Source organism: Homo sapiens, chromosome 6, assembly GCF_000001405.40.
Source record: "Homo sapiens chromosome 6, GRCh38.p14 Primary Assembly".
NCBI lineage: Eukaryota > Metazoa > Chordata > Mammalia > Primates > Hominidae > Homo > Homo sapiens.
Genome location: NC_000006.12, coordinates 139,293,996 through 139,316,726, shown reverse-complemented (window position 1 = coordinate 139,316,726; position 22,731 = coordinate 139,293,996). Strand labels below are relative to the sequence as shown.

At 38.8% G+C, this 22,731-nt stretch overlaps 1 protein-coding gene and 1 long non-coding RNA gene across 10 annotated transcripts in view, besides 2 other annotated features; one reads left to right on the top strand and one right to left on the bottom strand.

The window, feature by feature from the left end:
• The window catches only part of TXLNB (taxilin beta), a 164,789-nt gene that overhangs the window by 7,224 nt on the left and 134,834 nt on the right, over positions 1 to 22,731 (top strand). The window contains exons 2-3 of one of the 9 annotated variants that reach the window (XM_047418252.1): positions 19,843 to 19,940; positions 20,032 to 20,185. The exons of 6 other annotated variants lie outside the window; for them this stretch is intronic. The gene's annotated coding sequence lies outside the window, so the exon portion shown is untranslated. Of the gene's footprint in view, positions 1 to 19,842; positions 19,941 to 19,975; positions 20,186 to 22,731 lie in introns of all 9 variants that reach the window. 2 more of the 9 variants (XM_047418253.1, XM_024446341.2) reach the window with 2 other exon arrangements.
• Positions 1,820 to 2,557: an enhancer, noted in NCBI's record as "OCT4-NANOG-H3K27ac hESC enhancer chr6:139635307-139636044 (GRCh37/hg19 assembly coordinates)". NCBI's record gives its function as "activates a minimal SCP1, AML or CMV promoter by ChIP-STARR-seq in primed H9 embryonic stem cells {active_cell/tissue: H9 hESC(primed)}" and the evidence as "EXISTENCE:reporter gene assay evidence [ECO:0000049][PMID:30033119]".
• Positions 2,558 to 3,295: an enhancer, noted in NCBI's record as "OCT4-NANOG-H3K27ac-H3K4me1 hESC enhancer chr6:139634569-139635306 (GRCh37/hg19 assembly coordinates)". NCBI's record gives its function as "activates a minimal SCP1, AML or CMV promoter by ChIP-STARR-seq in primed H9 embryonic stem cells {active_cell/tissue: H9 hESC(primed)}" and the evidence as "EXISTENCE:reporter gene assay evidence [ECO:0000049][PMID:30033119]".
• LOC102723690 (uncharacterized) overlaps positions 13,859 to 22,731 on the bottom strand; it is a gene marked incomplete in the record, with an annotated part of 31,533 nt that continues 22,660 nt past the window's right edge. The window contains 1 exon segment of the long non-coding RNA NR_197427.1: positions 13,859 to 15,215. This is a non-coding gene — a long non-coding RNA (uncharacterized LOC102723690).

The window sequence follows — 22,731 nt, the reverse complement described above, 5'->3', positions numbered from 1 at the left end:
TGTTCTCAGATGTCTCCAAAAGCTGTTTTTTAAAAAATACTTTTTACAGGCTTTTTTGTTATTCTTGTGTTAAAGAAAAGATTGTTCAATGATACTTGTTAAAGCACAGTAAGGAAGACTTTATTCAAGATCAGCAACATATGTTTAGGGACCACTGCAACAGGGTCTTGTAGTATGAAAGATTGGGCTCAATTCCAAATACAGCCTGGGCAAGTGGGAATTTATAGCTAAGAAATAGGGTAGAGGGTCTGTGATAAGAAAAAAAAAATTACTAGCAGAAAACATCAGGGGTAAGGGAATTCTGACTAAACCAACCTAACAGGATTCTTGCTGAAGACAGGCCAGGGTGATCAAACATCACCTGTGGTGGGAGGGGAGGGATAAGAAACCTGATCATATATCAAAGGTGATCAGATATTAAAGGTGGGGGTTCTTGGTAAAATGACTTAATAGTGTTCTTTTCTAAAACTGGATTTTATAAGGAAGTGCACAGGTAGGCCTAAGAGAAGGTTCAGGACCCTGACTAAAGCTTAGCCAAGCAAAGAATCTTTGTCCCTTGTCAGAAGAGAGGGCTTAGGCCGATATAACCTACTGCCTCACAGATAGAAGTGGAAATTTTCTAACAAGATTTTTACATTCTTCTCTGTATATTCTTACCAAATATTTTTTCTCCCTGTCATTTTTTACTTATTATTTAAACTTAATGAAGTTTTACTATTATTACTATATTATATAATTTAGTTTTCACATTTCTTATTTATTGAAATCTGTATCATTTTAAATTCTGTATCTTTTTGGCTTGTAACTTCATAATCCAAATTCTCTTTATAAGTTCTCTGTGTCTAAAATAACATCCATTTTAAGTCTGTTGATTAAATGGCTTTATTTCTAAATTTATAAGAAAGTAATTGTGATTTTTTAAAAAGCTGGCCCACATACATTTTATTCATCTCAGCATAAATTATTTTTCTTCTATCATTTGCTTTATTCTCATGAAGAATTTTAAACTCCCTTGTCTGAATATTCATCCTTGCCTCTCACAATTTTTATAATATATTCTACTTAAAGGGAATCTGAAACTCAAACTTGCCTGGGATATTATAAATATTCTATTTGTGTGAACTTTGTATTCAAATAATTGTTTCTTTATTACAACATTCATATGAGTACTATTCGCAGCCAGAGGTCTAACAAATAATTACATGTTTGCAGATTTCATTCAAAGAATGCAGAGATACATGAATTTTACTCATAACTTACTCTCTTTTATGTCAGGAACAAATGGAGGAAAAAACAATGTAACTGCCCAATGGGTTCACCTTGCCTGCTGCCTAGACAGAGCCGATTTATCAAGACAGGGCAATTGCAATGGCCAAAGAGTAATTCACGCAGAGCCAGCTGTGGGGGAGACTGGAGTTTTATTATTACTCAAATCAGTCTCCCTGAGCAATTAGGGATCAGAGTTTTTAAAGATAATTTGGTGGGTAGGGGCTTAGGAAGTGGGGAGTATGGATTGGTCAGGTTGGAGATGGAATCATAGGGGGTCAAAATGAGGTTTTCTCGCTGTCTTCTGTTCCTGGGTGGGATGGCAGAACTAGTTGAGCCAGATCACCAGTCCAGGTGGTGCCGGCTGATCCATGGAGTTCAGGGCCTGCAAAATATCTCAGGCACTGATCTTAGGTCCCCAGGAACAATTTGGGGGGTTCAGACTTTTGGAACCAAGGGCTGCATGACCCCTACGTTGTAATTTCTAATCTTGTAGCTAATTTGTTTGTTCTGCAAAGACAGACTGGACCCCAGGCAAGAAGGGGGTCTTTTCGGGAAAGGGCTGTTAGCAATTTCGTTTCAGAGTCAAACCACAAACTGAATTCCTTCCCAAAGTTAGTTCGCCCTACGCCCAGGAATGAACAAGGACAACTTGAGGATTAGAAGCAAGATGGAGTTGGTTAGGTCTGATTTCTTTCACTGTCATAATTTCCTCAGTTATAATTTTGCAAAGGCGGTTTCAGAACTACTTAGTATTGTTCCAGATACAAGTAATCACTGTCAATGGAAAAGAGGCAACTCTGTGAAATATTTCAAGGGATTTATTCCAAGCCAAATCTAAGTGACCAAGGCCCAAGGCACAGTCTCAAGAGGTCCTGAGAACGTGTGGTCAAGGTGGTTGGATTACAGCTTGGTTTTATGCGATGTAGGGAGATAGAAGATAGCCATCAGTGCATGTAAGGTAGACATTGGCTTCGTCTGGAAAGGCAGGATAACTTGAAGCAGGAGCTTATAGGTCATACATGCATTCAAAGATTTCTTAATTGGCAGTTGGTTGAAAGGGTTAAGCTTTGCTTGAAGAGTGTAAGTCAGCAGAAAGAAATGTTTGTAGTTAAGACAAGCAGGGCGTTGTGGAAGCCAAGGTTCTTGTTACATAGATGAAACTTCCAGGTCATAGGCTTCAGAGGAATATATGGTAAATGTCTCTTATCAGACTCTAAAAGGTCCCAGAGTCTTAGTTAAATCTCTTCTGTATCAGGAAAAGACCTGGAAAAGGAAGGAGACTCTCTACAGAATGTAGATTTTCCCCACAAGAGATAGCTTTGCAGGGCTATTTCAAAATATGTCTAAGCAATCTATTTTGGGGTAAAATGCTTTGATTTCTTTCAGGGCCTGCCATCTGTCACATGATGCTATACTCGGGTCAGGTTGGAATTTGGTATCTTATTGCTACAAGGAGTCTTCTTTGTCAGTCTTAAGATCTCTGTTTTCATGTTAATGCTGGTCGGCTGTGCCTGAATTCCAAAGGGAGGAGAGCAGAAAGAGGCAGGCCTGGACTCCCTCTTTCCATCATGGCCTGAGCTAGTTTTAGTTTTTCAGGTTTTCTTTGGAATGCCCTTGGCTGGGAGGATGGTTCATTCAGTCGGTTGGGGGGCTTAGAATTTTATTTTTGGTTTACATCACAAAGTTTGAGATCCTATTTTGTGAAAAAAATAAAATCTTATAAATGAATACTGGGGCTGCCTGCCACAGGGTGACTTAAAAAAAAATATAGCAGCTCAATTGATAATTAAAATTTACCTTCCCAGCATAAACTTTCTAATAGCAAGCTGCCCTCAGTTGTTTCTGAAAGCACACAGAGCTCTTTCTCACAGATGTTCAACAATACCTCCTGCACCTGGTTCTTTGCCCCAAACTCCTGGTCAGGGTACTCTTTTCTTGTCTCCTCACCTGATACACATTCTGAAATTGCTGTCATGCAAGAGGAGCTAAACTCTGTAGGGGAGGAAACTTTTTTTTTTTCTTCCTGCCATCCTAGGTTCCTGGCTAAAGTCCATGTAACAAAAGACAGATTAAAAAGAGAAAGACAGGCCGGGCGCAGCGGCTCACGCCTGTAATCCCAACACTTTGGGAGGCCGAGATGGGTGGATCACAAGATCAGGAGATCGAGACCATCCTGGCTAACACAGTGAAACCTTGTCTTTACTAAAAATACAAAAAATTAGCCGGGCATGGTGGCACGTGCCTGTAGTCCCAGCTACTCGGGAGGCTGAGGCAGGAGAATGGCGTGAACCCGGGAGGCAGAGCTTGCAGCGAGCCGAGATCGCGCCACTGCACTCCAGCCTGGGCAACAGAGCGAGACTCCATCTCAAAAAAAAAAAAAGAGAGAAAGACAAATAGAAGTTTATTAACACTTACATCACATAAATATACATTAGAGAAACTCAGGGATGAGTAACTGAAAGAGGTGGCTAGAATTTGGGCTTCAATACCATCTTCAGTTAAAACAAATAGTGTGCGAGAGGCAAGTTATTGGAAGGTGACCAGGAAAAGTATAGTAAACAAGGGTAAGATTTGTTGTGCAGATTTCAGTCAGTGCCTTCTTCACAGATATGAGTCTTTAAGGACTTACAGTCATCCTCTCCTCAGTACAGAGGGAGAAACCCTCACATGGATATTTCCTTTATAAAATATAAATTATCCTTACAAAAGGGTAACATACTGTTTTCAGAGCTTCTCCTGCGTATGCTATATAATCAGCTTAAAATAATCCTTATCCAAGGGATGTTTTGGGGTTCATATTCAAGTCTCCTACAACTCTAAGGATGATGGCCATTGCTAACTCCACTCAGGCCTAGGGGTCAGCCTCTTCCCCTCAGTCTATATCATGCAGCTAAGTTCAAACTGTAGCACTTAATAAAATTATACTGTCATTTTTGAGGCAAGGTACCCAAATGGAAAGGCATCTTGCAAACACTACGAGAGGTGGCAACCCTCACAGTTTAATCTCCACTTAACTTCAGAATCCTCATAGGGTTGCCCCCAGCCAGCTTCAACAGAGTAAGGGTCATGTTATTCCAACTAACAGAAATTATTTTTTTGACTATAACTGTGCCTAACAGTCCAGATCACCTAAGACAGCTTAAGATTAAAAAAGAGATTGATTTTTTTTACCTTTCCTCAAGTCTAATGTCCTAAGATTGGCTCTTCTTATTCAAGGAGAAGAGGTGTCTCCTTCACAGGAAAGCCTACCCCTACCCATTGGAGTGTCATCTTGCATCATGATGGCATCAAAACTATGACACCAAAACATAATAGTGTAGTGTTCATCATCTTGGATTATTCACTCTTAACTCATATAGGATATAGGACATATTATGGACTGAATGTTTGTGTACCTCCAACATTCGTATGTTGAAATCCTAAGCCCCAGTGACATGGTATTAGGAGGTGGGGCCTTTGGGAAGTGATTAGGTCATGAGGGTATGAGACTAGTGCCTTTATAAGGAGAGAGACTAGAGTTCAGTCTCTCTATCATGTAATACACCATTTGCAAACCAGGAAGAGAGCTTTCAACAAGAACCTGGCCATCCTAGCCCCCCTGCTCTCGGATTTCCAGAACTGAGAGTAATAAATGTTTGTTGTTTAAGCCATCCAGCCTACGGTACTTTGCTGTTGTGCCGGAACTGACTAAGACAGGCCACAAACAGTCCAGTTCAGGTGGAGCTGCAGACGACGCGGTCCTGTTCTCTTGATTGTTTTTCCTCCATAAGAGGTAAAGATTTCTTCTGGATGTCCTTCCTTCCAGTTTCTCCAGTTTAGTACATCTCAGGTAAAAATGAAACTAACAACAATAAACTGCTTAAGGCAGAACATATGCAGCATCACAAGGTCAGCTAGAGGCCTTTTCCAACAGCAGACTCTAAATTCATAATCACGCACACCCCCCCACCCCCCAAAAAATATCACAAAGTAAAGTCTCAGAATCATGGCTTGGGCTTATGGACAAGTTACAGTTTCATCACCAAATAGAACACTCTGCAGCACCTGTCCTGCGTTCAGATCTGCCCACAGATTCTTGATTTACATTTGTATAACTAAGTTATCCATTCAAGAGGTTTTATGCAAAAGAAAAGAAAGATATGGCTCAGAGATAAGCTGAAATCTCTTTTAGCAAGCAGACTTGCTTGCCACTTTTTGAAAAGTTTCTCCAGCTTCCACTGATCAAGATGTCAAAAAGCATTAGGGCCACATTTTCAACCAGCATTTGCAGTGACACAAAGTGCAGCATAGGCAGAGAGGGTATAGGCTGGCCAAACCAGCTCCAAACTGCAGGCTGGAAAGCTTGTGTGTTTGCCTCAGCTCCAGATGAAATGACTGACATTTAAGTTATTATTTCATCAATTATTATATCTTAGTACTTATACATAAACACAATAGCAATTGTGTGGTATTGAAACAGAATGGGCTGGGCACGGTGGCTCACGCCTGTAATCCCAGCATTTTGGGAGACTGAGGCGGGTGGATCACCTGAGGTCAGGAGTTCGAGATCCACCTGGCCAACATGGTGAAACCCTGTCTCTACTAAAAATACAAAAATTAGCTGGGCATGGTGGCCAGTGCCTGTAATCCCAGGTACTCAGAAGGCTGAGGCAGGAGAATCACTTGAATCCGGGAGGCGGAGGTTGCAGTGTGCTGGGATCGTATCACTGCACTCCAGCCTGGGCGACAGAGTGAGACTCTTGTCTCAAAAAAAACCAAACCAAAACAAAACAGAATGACATGTTTGTCTACAGTGCAACAATATTAAAATTTACTCAAAAGATATATACTTGTCCTTTTTAATAATTTAAACTCTTCTTCATTAGGTAGCTGGATGCTTTGAGCTTAATCTGAAGGCTTCGGAATTAGACAGAGAGATAGAGTGGCTATCCTTAAACTGCCAGAAATTTACTTCTAATAGGTTTTATTGTGTGAATTGTGGAAGAAGACATTTGTATGTAGGATAGATAGCTTCTGTTTTGGAAGGTATCACTTTAGTGAGTGTATAAAGTCATTCCTTATGATTAGTGATGTTGCACACCTTTTCATACACCTGTTGGCTATTTTAACTCTTCTGTGGAGAAATATCTGCTCAGGTCCATTGCCTATCTTTTATAAATCAGATCCTTTGTTTTTCTGCTATTGAGTTGTAAGAATTCTTTACAAATTTTGGATATTAAGCCCTCATCAGACATGGGGTTTGCAATTATTTTTTCCCAGTCTGTAGGTTACTCTTTCATCCTGTCGATTGTATCCTTTGCTGGACAGAGGTTTTCATTTGATGGAGCCCCATTTATTTATTTTTGTTTTTGTAACCTGAACTTTTGGTGTGATACCCAAAATATCATTGCCAAGGCCAATGTCAAGAAGCTTTTCCCCTGTGTTCTTGTCTAGAAGCTTTATGGTTTCAGGTCTTCCATTTAGGTCTTTATCTGTTTCGAGTTAACTTTTGTGTGTGGTGTAAGACAAGAGTCCAATTTCATTCTTTTGCATATGGTAATCTAGTTTTTCCAGCACCATTTATTGAAGAGACTGTTCTTTCCCCATTGTGTCTTCTTGATGCCCTTTTCAAAAATTTGTTGTCCATGTATGTTTGATTTTATTTATGGGTTTCCAGGGCCCTTTTATATTTTTTAATTAATTAATGTATTTATCTAAATAGAGACAGAGTCTCACTATGTTGCCAAGCTGGTCTCCAACTCTTGGGCTCAAGCAATGCTCCCTCCTTGGCTTCCAAAAGTTTTGGGATTACAGGTATGAGCCACTGTGCCTGGCCCTTTTTGTATTTTCATGTCGAGACTCTTCGGGGAATTAACGATGAATTCTGCTTTACTAAGTGTGTAGTTTGGACAAGAGGCAATATTGACTACTTTCTTTGTACAAGGTCACATGCTAAGCACCTTTATGCTTATGTTAGTGAGAACAAATAGGCCTATCATGCAACTGGGAAAGGAAAGAAGAAAGAAAAGGAATTAACACTTAATATGCATCTACAAAGGCCTGTGATGTGTACTTTGTGTGTGTACGCAAGATCTACTGTTTAGAAATCTTATTGCAAACAAGAGAAACTGATTTGGGCATATTTAAACAGAAAGAGAATTCATAGCTAGCCTACTGAATCTAAGAAATATGGAAAATCAGGTTTGGGAAATGGTAAGGAATCATATAAATCTAAGCAGAAGAGTCCTGGCTCAGAAATAACTCTGATTAACATTTGCTGCTGAAACCTCTTCCCATAATTCTGGGGCTGCTGGAAACTCTCCACCCACTGGACAGTCATCACTGCCCCAGGAAATAACCTCTGCTCCCTGCATCATTGCATAACTGCCCAGATTCAAAGTTCCAGCTGGGAGTGTGGTTGGACAAGGCTAGGCCATGTGCTACTCCTAGCTGTCAAATAGGGAATGGAATGCATGCTCCTCTTTACCTTTCACAGGGGTAGACAGAACCCTGCCCATCACCAAGACTTATCCTTATTCAAGGTTTGAAATAGAAAGAAGACTTGGATGCTAAGCGGTCAACACAATGGCAAGCATTCACTGTTGTTTTACTACTTTGGTTTCCTAATTTCTATATTTGCCACTTGTCCTTTATGGTAAAAACTTGCATGTTAAAATAAATATTCCTGTTTAACATGACTCATTACCTAGTGGGAAATTTACCCACCCCCTCAAAGGGAAATGACCCAGCATCTCAATAGTTTCTACATTCAGCTCCAAATCTAAGATCTCTGGGTGATACTCATTTCTCCTCTAGTGACCATATAAATCTATCTTCATGTAATGTAAGTATGAACAAAATTGGAAAGTCAACCACTAACGACATAGTCCATACACAATAGTGTGGTTGGAAAACAACAAAAAACTTTTAAAAGGAGTATTAGTTGGAATATATAGCAAAACAAGGAAGTGAACACAAATAAAGCCTACAGTAGTCATATCTGTAACTCTTCACAAGATATTTTATGATGTGTGCAGTATTTACAACTTCCCTCTTCCACTACCTACTGCATCTTGCCTTTGTTTTCAGACGGCGTCTGGGCTGGTCAGGGTTTGTCTTTGGAAGTCCTTCCAATATAGTGATGCAGTGGTCTTCATTAATTTTTTGCAACCAGGCAGGTAGTTGTATCGCTTAGGATCCATCCATACTTTTCTCTGTCCTTCTTATATAGCAATAACCATACATGCCCATGGTAGCCAGAGTCAGTGACTCCAAACAGTTTCTTAACAACCATCAGCCCTTCCACTCTGCCTATTTGCCTCTTCGTTTAATAGCATCTAGAGCTCTCAGTAGGTAGGTGTCCATTTAGCTTTCATTTTAAAAGAGCCATTGTGGCCGTGTGGAAGCATCGATCACTTGGGTTCTGAAATCTCGCATGCAGAAGAACCCAGGTGTCAATACTATTCCTGGGTTCTGAAATCTCGCATGCAGAAGAACCCAGGTGTCAATACTACTCCTGGGAAGTGTCAACCCACTTCCACTCTGGGTCCCTAGACCCATGTGTTTTAATTAATCAGGAGCAAATTTGTGTAAAAACACGTCTGGATAAAAATCAATTTAGCAAAATTGTTTTTAAGATATTTATACAGATAAAATGATATAATTATTTCTTAGTCTTTCATAATGAAGCCAACATTTAACAATAAATTCAATATTGCCTTTAAAAAGCCATTTGTTTAGATATCCAAAGAATACCCAATACTATGTTGAACAAGAATGAATAGAAGAGGAAAAAAATGAATGGGTATAATAAGGTTGTCCTGGAAATCTCTATATAGGCAAGAAAACTATAATTTGGAAAAGTATGTTACATTCTCTTATGAAAATAATTGAAAGGGCATAAGCTCACCTGAATATGTTACTATAGACAAAAACTATGATCTACTTTTCCTCAGCCAAATTTATGATTTAATTCATAGATATTTGTTGAGGCCATGCACAGTGGCTCATGCCTGTAATCCCAGCACTTTGGGAAGCTGAGGAAGGAGGATCACTTGAGGCCAGGAGTTGGAGACCAGAGTGAGCAACATAGCAAGACCTTGTTCCTACAAAAAATAAAAACTTAGCCAGGGGTGGTGTCATACACCTGTAGTTCCAGCTACTCAAGAGGCTGAGGCAGGGGGATTGCTTGAGCCCAGGTTCAAAGCTGCAGTGAACTATGACTGTGCCAGCCTGAGCGGCAAAGTGAGACCCTATCTCTAAAAAACAAAACAAACAAACAAAAAACCCCAATCATTTGTTGAGAACTAGTAGTGTGCTCTGGGCTCTCTGCTCAACCTGTCTTGGTCAATACTTTTGTCAGTGAAGATGTAGCCATAGGCTTATCAAAAGTATAGATGGCAACAATGTGAGATTTAAAACATCTAATAGTAGAATCATGATTCCAAAATGTCACAATAAGCTGGAATAATGATCCAAATAGAGATACTAGTGAAATCCTTAGGTTCAAAATAGCAACTACATAAGCACAGAATTATAGAATCATGTTTTAAAACATCACAGAAAGAAACAACAACATAAAGCAAAACACAGGGGCTTGAGTTGGCTGCAAGTATGGTGAGAGTCAAGAACATGATAAGGCCACCAAGCAGATAATGGCTGTTGGCTGCTGTAGAAATGCAGTGCCCAGGAGCAGAGTAGGGTCCCCTGCTGCCTACCTTGGTCAGGCTACATCCCACATGCTGTGCTAGCTTCTGCATCTTTGCAACAATACAGGGATGAACTGTAGCAGGAAAATCAGGCTGAGGAAAGGTTTGGAGACTATATCATATGAGGAACAATTGAAGAAAGCGGGAATATTTAGATCAAAGGCCCATATGATTTTCAGACATTCGAAGGGCAGTCATGAGGAAGTGGATTGAAATATCTTATCTGTGACTCCTGATAACAAATGCTTAGGCAGGGTCTGAAAGAAAAACTGTCTTCATGCCTCAACCATTTGCCATTCAAGCCCAGTTGCTGGCAGGCACCTTTTGTATAGCACATCCTTTCACAGAGAATGTCAAGGGCTGTGTCTCTGGAGCGTCCCAGAAGTTTGACCCTTTCCATCTGTGAGCATGCCCTGGAATAAACATCAAAAACATCAGAGAAAACTTTTCCTCTGTCTCTAGTACTTTCTGAAATGGCTGCAGGAGGGAGCATTCAAAAATAGGAGCAGCTCAGTAGGACTGGAAGGAGACAGACTTTTCTCTGATCTTTGTGGAAGGAGACACTGATGGAAACCAAATCACCTTACAACCTTAAGGACCTCATTTATTCATTCATGGTTACTGGGCACTGACTCTGGGCCAGGCACTGTATTGAGTATACTGAGATAAAATACACCATTCTTGTTTCTAAGGAGCTCCCAGTTTCCTGGGGATGTAGGCAAATAAATCACTTCAATGAAAATTGTTGAAATGCTACAATCAGGGCTATTTTCCTAGGTAGATCTTCTAGTTTCCTACTTTACACGAATATTAATAAATCATTTTCATTCCTTTAAATTGTTCTATACTTAATTCCAAATATTCTGTGGATTAAAAAAATGCAAACTCATTAAGGAAGATGAATATCTTCCTAATTAATTAAGATTATTTACTATCAGAGACAGATGGAGGATCTGGATCCTTTCCCAAGACCTAATGATACATGCAAAAGTCTACTTATAGTTATTATGTTAATAATTCTACAACTCTGATACAAGTTATCACTCAGCCCACTTCCTTCTCCTTAACATTATACATAGTACCTAATTCTTCTATCTTCCTATAGAAATCTACAGCTACTGTCCAGGATGATCCATTCAATGTGTTTGGGATTTTTTAAATATGTGAATATCTTTCTGACTCTAACAATTTATAAACTGATAACATTGTAAAAGATTTAGATGCCTTTTCATTGAACTGTTTTTTATAAATGAGACTTTGTTCCATGGTCAATCCACAGATGTTATATAACTATGTGGAAGCAGTTCTTAATACAAATACCAAAAAAAAATTGTTTTAATGCATATGGTTATAATCCATAGCGATTTTTCTGGTGCCTTTCTATCTTAAAACTTGTAGGCAAATTGTCCTTAAATAAGATTGTAAATATCAATATTTTAAAATATTAGTAAGCTGTTAGATCTCATTTCCCTCCAATTTATATCTTAATACATACACACCACATGCTCAAAAATTTCCAATCTTTCACAACACATCAATCAAGTAATAAGAAAAACTGGACTACCACTACCAAAGTTGTCAAAGTTTCAATGGGAGAGTTATGAACAAGGAGAAGGCTTTTGGGGGAACAATTCTACTTAAAAGTGAGTGGAAAAGGTAATTCAAAACATTTAAGTTACGTTGAATTCATGATTATGATTTCAAATTGCTATTTAGTTATATTTCATATTACAGGCTATCAAAATTGCCCTTCTGCTGCCTGTGGAATATTAAGTTGACAAACGAGACAGTTATTTACCTCTTTAAAAAACAAGATTTACACACAAAAAAGCACCCACCTAAATATGTTTTATTAAAAAATGGAATGAGGTGGTATCTTCTCCTTTAAATTGTTTTCCTAGAGCTACCAAAAATTTGCATTTATAGAAAAGTGGACACAAATACCTCTGGATTGATACAAACAGATATACGGAGACCAGCGGTGAGAGTTGGTTTATGACACACTCATTGGACTTCACTTCTTTTTCATTTGGCTTCATTAAAGGCTGGACTCTCTTCATTGTTAGTTTCTCTGGTTTCTGCAGGAGTCTTCTTAAGTTCTTGGATAACCCTCTCTACCTGTTTTACTTTTGTTTGCCTATTCTGTTTTGTTTGCATTCATTTTTGTCTGAAGATTGGTTCTGTCCTGTTGCCTGTTGCCACTTGTTTCAGCTCACATGAGCAGGCTTGGTTGATAACCTTGCTCGTCACCTCTTGAGCCCTTCTTTTACTGCTCTTTTAGTGGAAGTGACCCCCTTTTGTGCATCGTGGTACTGATTGCCTTTTCCATTTATCTCTAAAGACATCTGTGCAGGATACATTTCTTCCTATTTCTTTGCATCATTTAAAAACTGATATAACCGAATTTTGGATACTTTCCATGGGTTTTGTCTGACTTGTAGTCACAAATTATGGAGTCTTTCTACTGATATTCTCACCTTGTGTCAGAAAATGCCTTTAACTGATATATTTATAGCATTATTCATTTCTGTATTCTTTATGGATACAATCGATGAGCCAAGAGTGCCAAATAAATAACAAAGCTCAGCAGTAACAACTTCTTCACCTTCTTTTCAAATACTTCCCGTTATTTATTTTCTTTTTGTTCATTGCTAGGGAATCATAGCTGTTTAATAGATTTCAGTTGACTGGAAGATTTATTATAATTCTTAATGATACAACTTTGACTAGTGGTAGTTTCTTTTAGGCAGGTTCTTATGTCTTTTTGATAGTACTTTAGAAAGTTTTGAAAGCTTTCTTGCTTTCTAGCACAAGGCAGTTCAAGCTATCTTGCACATTTCTGGGCCAAACAAAGACTGAGATGTTTCTCTTAAGAATCCTTAGTTTCTTTTAGTTTAAAAAAAAAAAAAAAAAGACCAGGAACTGGATGATTGGCTGCAACATGGATTGACATTGTTCCTAGATTATTTCTGTGTCAAAACTACAAATATTTTCTTTTAAATTTTATATTTATGTTAATATTTCTAATTCTGTTCTAAAATTACAACATTCCTCATTAATTTAGGAATTCTATAATTGTAGCACATTCTCTCTTATATAAGAATACTTATATTTACTTTATATAAATATTAAGTAATTTATAATTACTTATATTCTTCATTTGCCTAAGAGTGCCAAGATGCTAACACCAACATCAGTATGAACAATAAAGTACTGAGTTAAGCTTAACCTTTTCTACATAGTTACTTTTGTTTTTAGAAGGTTTTCCAGAAAGAAAATGCATTCCATCCTTTCCTGAGCCATAAACATTTCCTTGTATATAGCATGCAACATTTCCTTATTCCCTCAGGAACCTAATATATCATGGAATGTTTTATTTGCATTTCATGAACCCAAGTCATTTGCCTAGTTAGTACTATGTATATGTGTACTTCCATCCAGCGCCAGACCAGTTCAAAGTGTTTCATTTTCTTGCAAGTAGATCAAGGAGAGACTTTGTAAGCGAGTAACATTACATGGAAACTCAGGCTTTTGAGGTTTAAACTGAAAGTCTCTTCTTTGACCCAGGATCCAAAATCCATATATTTTAAATATGTTATCTGATTAATTATCACTTATCAAAAACACATTAGTTAATTACCAATGACACTACTATAGAACTCTAATTTTTCAGAGGTCTTTGGATAAATCAAAATATCCATGACTTTAATATTTTATGAATTCAAAACTTTTGAAAACCACTTTGGAATATCAGAAAATAAGCAGAATGTGTCAAAATAAGACAGTTTAATAGAAATACTATGTACATTTACATAAGGTAATTGCATATTTCTCTGTCAATTTTTTTGCAGAAATCTGAATTTGTATCACTTATCCTTATACAGAAAAACCACAAAATCACATTAATTTTCCAGTTTTATTACACAATATAAATGTAGTTACCTTTCAAAGCTTAACAAGGTTTTTTTTTCTTTTTTCTTTTTTTCAAGACGTAGTTTCACTCTTGTTGCCCAAGCTGGAGGGCAATGGTGCGATCTCAGCTCACTGCAACCTCCTCCTTCCCGGGTTCAAGTGATTCTCTTGCCTCAGCCTCCCTCGTAGCTATTCAGGCGCCATTCAGGTGCCCGCCACCATTCCCAGCTAATTTTTTTTTTTTTTTTTGTATTTTTAGTAGAGATGGGGTTTCACTATGTTGGCCAGGCTGGTCTCAAACTCCTGACCTCAGGCAATCCACCCGCCTCAGCCTCCCAAAGTGCTGGGATTACAGGTGTGAGCCACCGCACCCAGCTAACTTAACAGCTTTTTAATACAAAATCACCCAATTTTGGAAGAAATATTATAGAAAACCCACTAGATTCATTTTTGTGGTTGCTGTTTTTCAAACTCTGTCTTTCTAGATGTGTTTCACTGTTAGGGACTGATTTAAAACAGCTCCTTTTTTTTTTTTTTTCTCCTCTCTCTCAGACCTTTACCCAGACCCAAGTTTCTAATCCCTTTGTTGGCCTTATTTTCCTCTTACTAACACAAAACTAAATTTCTCTTCTTACGCTTAAAAATCTGACTTAAAACATATTTTTAAAAACAGCTTAATTCATATGATATTCAACTTTATATACCTACATGTATGCTACCATCTTATTTTTAGCTAAATATACAAAAATTCATCTAAGCAAAATATTCAAATACATTTTTTATCATATGCTTTTACCCAATAAAGCATCGTAGTTTCAATTAAGAATATATATATATTTTTGTTTGCTTTCCACCCCAAAAAACATTCATTCTTTAGATCCTAAGATCTCTGAATTTAAATTTTTTAATTCTAAGGACTTGTAATATATTATCAGCCTGTCAAGGGTTCCTTGCTTTGCTTTGTTTTTGTTTTGTTTTGTTTTAGGGGACGGGACAAGTCTTTTTTTATTAATATACACAGAGTTGCTTACTAAGTACTAAATGAATACTAAAATATGTACTATGGTCAGGGGGGTGGGGATTAGTTCATTATTATCTATATCAAGTTACTGTGAAAGTAAAGGTCAGGCAGGGGAAGCATTGATTTCTGTGCATAGACTTGGTGGGGGCTTGTTGCCCCATTCTGTGTGGGGCACTAGAGTACAGCACTTTCTTCGGTGAGGACTCTGATGATTCCAAACCCATTGTATCTCAGGTGTGCTCTTCTAACCCATGGAAGACTTAGTGATCCCATCTCAAGAGCTTACTCTTTTTTCCAGACCATCTATAGAAGATTTCCTGGCAGTTCTAGAGGAAAGATATATGGAGGTTTATGGGGACTTCATAGGAAGGTAGCTTTGGAACTCAGGGGACAATGGAGGTTGCAGAGGCTTACTCACACACTCATGTCACCAGTAGCAGGTATTATTACTTTTAATAATAGTAATATTTTCACCCTAATAAGGTCATCTAAGATGTCATCTTTTGTATTTGGTGGCACTATACAGATACCCAAGAAAATTTCCCTGCAATTTTTCCTTCATATTTTTTAATGATTTTGCAACCTCTCTTGGGTATATATGAGAAAGACAACTAGGAGTTTGTCCTTTCCACAGAGACCATGATTTCGCCTAGCCATAGTTTCTGGTATCAAGGTCCCAAGTTGAGTCTAGGAACTCTATGTTCCACAAACTCAGGGGGTCCCACATCTATTTTGTTTGAACAGTGACCCCTGGAGTTAGGTAACAAGGCATCTCAGCCAGGATCCATCTACAGTTTGGGCTCCTAACTGGCACAATTCCAAATTTATACAGAATGGGGGCCCTGAAACAGTTTAAAGAAGAATAGAAGAGATGTGGTGCTTCCTTTGTAGTCCTTGAGCTTGAATTAAGGAACACACAAGGGAAGTTATTCCCTTTTTTTTTGAGATGGAGTCTCGCTGTGTCACCCATGCTGGAGCACAGTGGTGCAATCTCGGCTCACTGCAACCTCCGCCTCCCTGATTCAAGTGATTCTCCTGCTTCAGCCTCCTGAGTAGCTGGGATTACAGCCGCGTGCCACCACGCTGGCTAATTTTTGTATTTTTAGTAGAGACGCAGTTTCACCATGTTGGTCAGGCTGGTCTCGAACCCCTGGCCTTGTGATCCACCACGTCAGCCTCCCAAAGTGCTGGGATTACAGGCGTGAGCCACCGCACCCAGCTGAAGTTCTCTTCTAAGGACAAAGGAGTCATATAAGATACATTAGGAGCAGAAAGGCTCTGAAAGCCTTTCGAAAGGCAGACAGGTTCAGGTAATGGGCTCCCTTTAAGCCTATCAATGGACAATTAGCCTAGGCATCCCCTCACCATGAAAGGGAGGGAAAAAAGAGACATAATTGGGAAGATAAAGAGGCAAGGTAGCAGGAGTCTAAGCATTTGCTCACTCAGTCCCAATCCTGTTGACCATCTCTGCTGTTCCCAGGTTGCGTTGTTCTACATCCTATCAAAGCCACACCAAATTGTTACAGAGAAAAAGACCACACATAGAATTTAAAAATTAGTCCATGCTCTTTGATAAGAACTGCATTGCAAGAAGGAAGGAGAGGAGTGTCCACCAGCTCAGAACTAGGTGACCACCACACACCTGTTTTCTAACACATCAAAATGACAGGCTTTCCTTTCAACACAAGTTCAACCTTAGACCCTTCCTGAGAATTGCTTTGTGATCAGCAGGGGAGGAGGGGCTTCATGACACTCACGTAAGGGAGAGAAGAACTTCTGACCCTTAGGGAGGGGAATCAAAAGAACTTGTCATACTAGACAGAGAAGAGAAAAATGAACCTTATAGTTAGTTAGTTAGAAAACCTCAAAAAGGCTATTTGAAAGGGATGCTTTTATCAAACCTCTGAAAGGAGTCACAGTGCTTGTATGGTAAAACATCATGGATCTATCATCTTTGGAGACTTAACTATTGGCAAGTAGTACTGTCTTATTTAAAAGAGCCATTTTTTTTTTCATCAAATGTCATCTACCTAAGGACAGATCAGGGTGGCTCTAGACAGGACCTCTAAGTCCTGTCTAGTATCAAGGTCCCAAGTTGAGTCTAGGAACACTATGTTCCACAAACCCAGGGGGTCCCACATCTATTTTGTTTGAACAGTGACCCCTGGAGTTAGGTAACAAGGCATCTCAGCCAGGCATCTCCCCAAGTGGGGAGATGATCTGTGAGGTCCCTTCCCTCACCAAGATTCTGCAGACCCCACGATAGCTGGCAAACCCTAGGACAAGGAGGAATGAGAAGAGGGGAGGGAAGGAAGAAACATCCCTGTCCAGGAGGTCCCAGTCCAAAACCATGGGTGGCCTGAGGACTTCAAAGTTGGGACTATTAACAGTTGACATTTCAGTTAATCTGCATTATTGCCTTCTTCTTGCCATTAGTAAGGTTTGTTTGGGTATCTTGTGGCCAGAGTTCTTTCAGATGGGATATGTTTCCCAAGTTTCTTACAGGGAACATGAGCCAAAGGAAGCAGAATGCCACAAAAAGGGTGACATGAGCCCTTCGAGTTCAGCAACTTTTGTTCCCAGGGTTGTTGAATATTCACACGCCAGCTGGGCTTTCTTACCCATGTGCAGCAACAAGGCAATCCCTCCCCTCCCCAGGAGCAGCCAGGGGCCAGCCAATGGGAACAAGCCAATGGCAACACAGATTGTCTTAGTCTGTTTGTGTTTCAATAAAGGGACACCTGAGGCTGGGTTGTTTATTTAAAGAAGATATTTATTTGGTTCACAGTATTGCAGGCTGCATAAGACGCATGGTGCCAGCATCTCCTTCTGGGGAGAGTTTCAGGAAGTTTCCACTCATGGTGGAAGGTGAAGGGGAGCAGGCATCACATGGCAAGAGGGAGGAAGAAGGAGAGAACATGGAGGAAGGTACCAGGTGCTTTTTAGCAATCAGTTCTTGTGGAAACTAATTGAGCAAGAACTTGATTCCAAGAGACTCGCACCTAGCCATTCATGAGAGATCTGCCTCCATGACCCAAAAGCCTCCACCTCCAACACTGGGGATCAAATTTCTACATGAGACTCTGAGGGGACAAATATCCAAACTATATCACATACTTTAATCAGGACCAATCACTTGACCTTCACATCCTCTTGCTGGCATGCAGGGGTTGCAACAGTGGAGTCTGCTTTAGGGGAATGTCATTGCTGCAGCCCATAGTAGCCACTAAAATCCAACTCTACCCTCAGGGGACACTCTGCATGAACAAGTCAACATGCAGTTCTATGCTTCTGAATCTCTACTACATCCAGCAATGGGATAAGGAAGAGCTCTTCAAAGATGGGGAGGTCCAATATTCCTGCAAAATAACACACCTTATTCTGATCTTCCTTGAAGCAAATATTGACATGAGCCAAATGTCCCCTGTAGAATGCATGCAGCAATGTCATATTAATTTGAATTCAACAGAGAATTGGTATAAAGGAGCCTATCCTAGAATCTGTCTGCATTATTTATAAGAAGACTTTCATGATGAAATTGTTAATATAAAAATGTAAGAGTAATAAGGCTACTTAAGAGGTGGGGCTCTTTGCAAGTACAAGTGTAGCACCCAATATTTATACAAATTTCAAACTATTTATTTTATTTATGCAAGTCCATCTGCTCTTTACTAGAAATAATATTTGCTTGCCTAATTTTGCTGACAAGTGATAAAACAATTCTTTTCACAGGGTGGGAATCATATTTCACTTTTAGTACAAATTAAAGAGTTGTCACCATGGGAATTGAATATTGTAACTTGCTGTTTGGTTTTGTATTTGGATTAATACAAAATAATCTCTGTTTGATTACAAGCCCACATTTCCCTCCATTTTAGAAAGACAAAGGTGATGTCTGCTGAGTAGAAGCAGTATAGAATGATGCGCCCCCACCACCCCAAGCCAGATCTAGCCTAGGTCAAGAATATAAATACCACAACCAAGAGATGATACAATAGATTCCTTCAACTTGGTCCTAGGCAGCAACAATTTGAAAATGTTATTGGTGTAGAAAATATTAATTCCCATTCACAGGCTTTATTTAAACACATAATTATTGGAATTAATTAAAAAGATTATGTGTTTGTATTAAACCACATTTACTATGTTAATTTCATAACAATCATATACAATAAGTAGTCCCCATTCTATGGAGTAGGAAATTGAAACTAAAGAAATTAAAATATAGCCCAAGTAAAAGACAGATCTGGAATTCACGTGGAAGCTACTTGATTTTAAGGCTCATAATCTTAATTATTTAATGATTTCTGTTTCCTTTCAGCCCATGGTAGAATAGTACAGAATTTATAAACTTCTATACTTGAAAAAGATCTTAAGTGAATCATTTAGTTTACCCCTGCCCCCTTTCCAGACATTTCTTTACTAGTATTCCTGAAAGAAAGAACAACCAAGTCTCTACTGGATATTTCCAATGCTGATGCTTTTTATTTGGAGGGATAGGTCATTTCATTACTGGACTGCTACAGTGGTTAAACACATCTTTATGGTAAAAATCAGAAAAGAAGAGAATTCTGACTTCTTTCTTCTATAAAATTCACCAGTAAAGAAGAAGAAGAAAAAAGGCAGAAAAAGGGAAGCTCTAATGTTAGGGAAGCCAGAAGAATTGAATCCATAAACCCCAAACCACAACGGATGAGGACTAGAACACAATACATAGTGGTAAATGATTCAACAGGAAGTGTGCTTCACAGGGATGAGTTGGATGTAAGTGGGACAGGCAAGCAGTGAGGGGCAAGCTGATTTCCCTGGTAGACTGGAAAGACTAAGGAATTTGAGGTTAATACTCTGCAAGTGGAGATACTATTGAAATTGGCAGTAAAGCAGGAGACTACAAATAGTAGGATGGTTTGTTGGCTGTTGGCTTTGTTTGTTTGTTTGTTTGTTTGCTTTCAGAGATGGGGTCTCACTATGTTGCTCAGGCTGGATTTGAATTCCTGCATTCAAATGATCCTCTCGCCCGCCCCTGTCTTCCAAGTAGCTGCGACTACCAGGTGCGCACCATCACACCTGGCTTGTTTGTTTCCAGTTAGGAGAAGGAACAGTTAGAACAAAGGGTCCTAAATGCCACCCTTCAAAATCAAGCCCCTTTCAGGATACCTGAGGATTGTTCTCTGAAGAAGCTTAACCAGAAAGGCTCTGAACTGAGCGATATGAGGCTCAGAGGAGGACAAGGGTGAGCAACAATGACGAAAAAGAGAAGAGGTTAAACATTTGAGTCTACAGACATTAAAACCAAGTAAGCATCCAAAATAATAAATGAAAAAAAGATCTACATCAAATTTAATCATTGTGAAACTTCAGAACATCATGATAAAGATGCCAAATGGTTCTAGAGAGGAAAAAAAATGGATCATATCCAAAGGATTAGGAATAAGAATGACCTTGCATTTTTAAGAAACATTAAAAACTAAAAGACAGGGGAAAATAATATGTCTTAAGATTTTTAATAAAAATTATTTTCAACCTAAAAGGTTACATCTAGCCAAACTATCAATCAAGTAAGTATAAGGGTATCAAAAAGATATTTCAGGCACACACACAGTCTCCCATAAATGCTTTCTCAGGAAGCCACTAGAGGATATGTTTTTCTAAATGAGGAATTAAACCAAGAAAGAGGAAGAATAGGAGCCAGGCAACAGGAGAGAGGTAAAGGGAATTCCCAGAACGACAGCAGGGGAAGTGCCAGGACCACAGCTGTGTAGCAGGCCTAGAAGCCACCAGCCCAGGCTGGAGGAGGGGGGGGTCAAGGTTCTAAGAGTGTTTGTATGTGGGGATCATATCTCCAAAAAAGTACTAGAATACATAAATTATTTGACCTTTGGGAATATTGTATAGAAAGATTTATAGGCCTCTTACGCTGTTTGGGAAGACAGAGTATTCTCAATACTAGGCAAATGAAAAGAAAAAGAAATTATCAACTCCAGGAAAAACAGAAAGTTGCATATGAATAGAACTATAATCACAATGCTCTACCTGGTTTAACAGTAAACATTATTTCAATAAAGACAATATAGGATATGAATTAAACATTGAGATATAATTTTGTGGGGAAAATGAAGAGAGGAGAAAAAGGGGAGTGTAAACAATGAAAATCTTCATCTATCATTATGAGAAGACAATAAATAATGTCAAAAATTGGTGAGTTGTAAATAAAATCAAGGCATTTTATTTAAAAATGATAAAGTAAATCCCCCCCCCAAAAAATATCTACAACAGTTTTATGTTATTACCTCTAGAAAGCATCACAAGGTTGGAGGAAGGTGGAAGAACAAGGAGTTATTGTTTCTTGGGTTAAGCTTTTTAGCATCATTTGAATTTTCAAATTATTTTCCTGTGATATTTGCGTAAACAGTTAGATGTATTTTCAAAAAATAAGTGTATTCTTTACAAAAGTTCAAAGCCTTAGACGTGTAATTTGTGTTCTTTTAACGTTGATTTGACAATAAAACACTGAGCTCTATTAATTTGCTGTCTTTATTAACTTATCCCAGTTTTTTGGGCCCCTATCAGGCCACAGATAAATTCTTGGGAGTCACAGTTTTGCATGTTTGTATTATTTTCAATTATACTTGAAAATGCATATGCCTGTTTTGGATCTGGGTAGCCACTGTGTAAGTGTCATTTTGATACCTCCACTATCATGTGTGTATCTATTCAAGTTAGGGCCAATTAGCACTACTTTAATAATTGCAGGACAATGAGAAAGAATAGGGCTTTCATCTATTCAGGCTGCTATAACAAAATAACATAAACTGAGTGACTAATAAACAATGGAATTTTTTTTTTTTTGAGACAGAGTCTTGCTCTGTCGCCCAGGCTGGAGTGCAGTGGCACAATCTCGGCTCACTGCAACCTCTGTCTCCTGGGTTCAAATGATTCTCCTGCCCCAGCCTCCCCAGTAGCTGGGATTACAAGCATGCGCCACCACATCCAGCTAATTTCTGTATTTTAGTAGAGATGGAGTTTCACCATGATGGCCAGGCTGATCTTGAACTCCTGACCTCAAGTGATCCACCTGCCTTGGCCTCCCAACGTGCTGGTATTACAGCCGTGAGCCAGCGTGCCGGGCCAACAATGGAAATTTATTTCTCATAGTTCTGTAGGCTGGAAAGTCTAAGATCAAGGTGCAGGCAAATTCTGTGTCTGGTGACTTCCTCGTACAAAGCCTTCTTCTCACTGCACCCTCACATGGCAGAGGGGTAAGGGGTTTCTTTCAGACCTTTTTTATGAGAACACTAATCCCATTCATAAAAGCTCTACCCTCATAATCTAATCACTTCCCAAAGGCCCCACCTCCTCATACCATCACCTGGGGGTTTATGATTTCAACACATGAATTTTGGGGGGACACAAACATTCAGACCATAGCAAGCAGTAAATGATGCAGCCGTATCAAATGAGAGCCCCATGAAATCATAGCAGGCCATATGAATAAAAACTATGTAATAATTTGAATGAATCAAGTGTTGAGGAAATTCCCAAACCACATTGTAGAAGAGTACCAGAAACTCAAAAAACCCAGCAGTCAATAGAGTATTCATGTTGCAAGCAGCAATTTAAGTTCAGCAAAACAATATCTGTCACATAAAAGTAGTGTTATTAATTTGAGTCGCATTTATTGATTTTGTAGGCTTTAAAATGTATACATTTTAAAATTTATGTAACTACTGTAAGCATAAGGAATTTATCCTATTTTCATTTTAGTACATGTAGGTTCAAATAATAATATAATCCTTCAAATAATTTCCACATTATTTAAATTATTCTGTTAAGTGAGTCTAT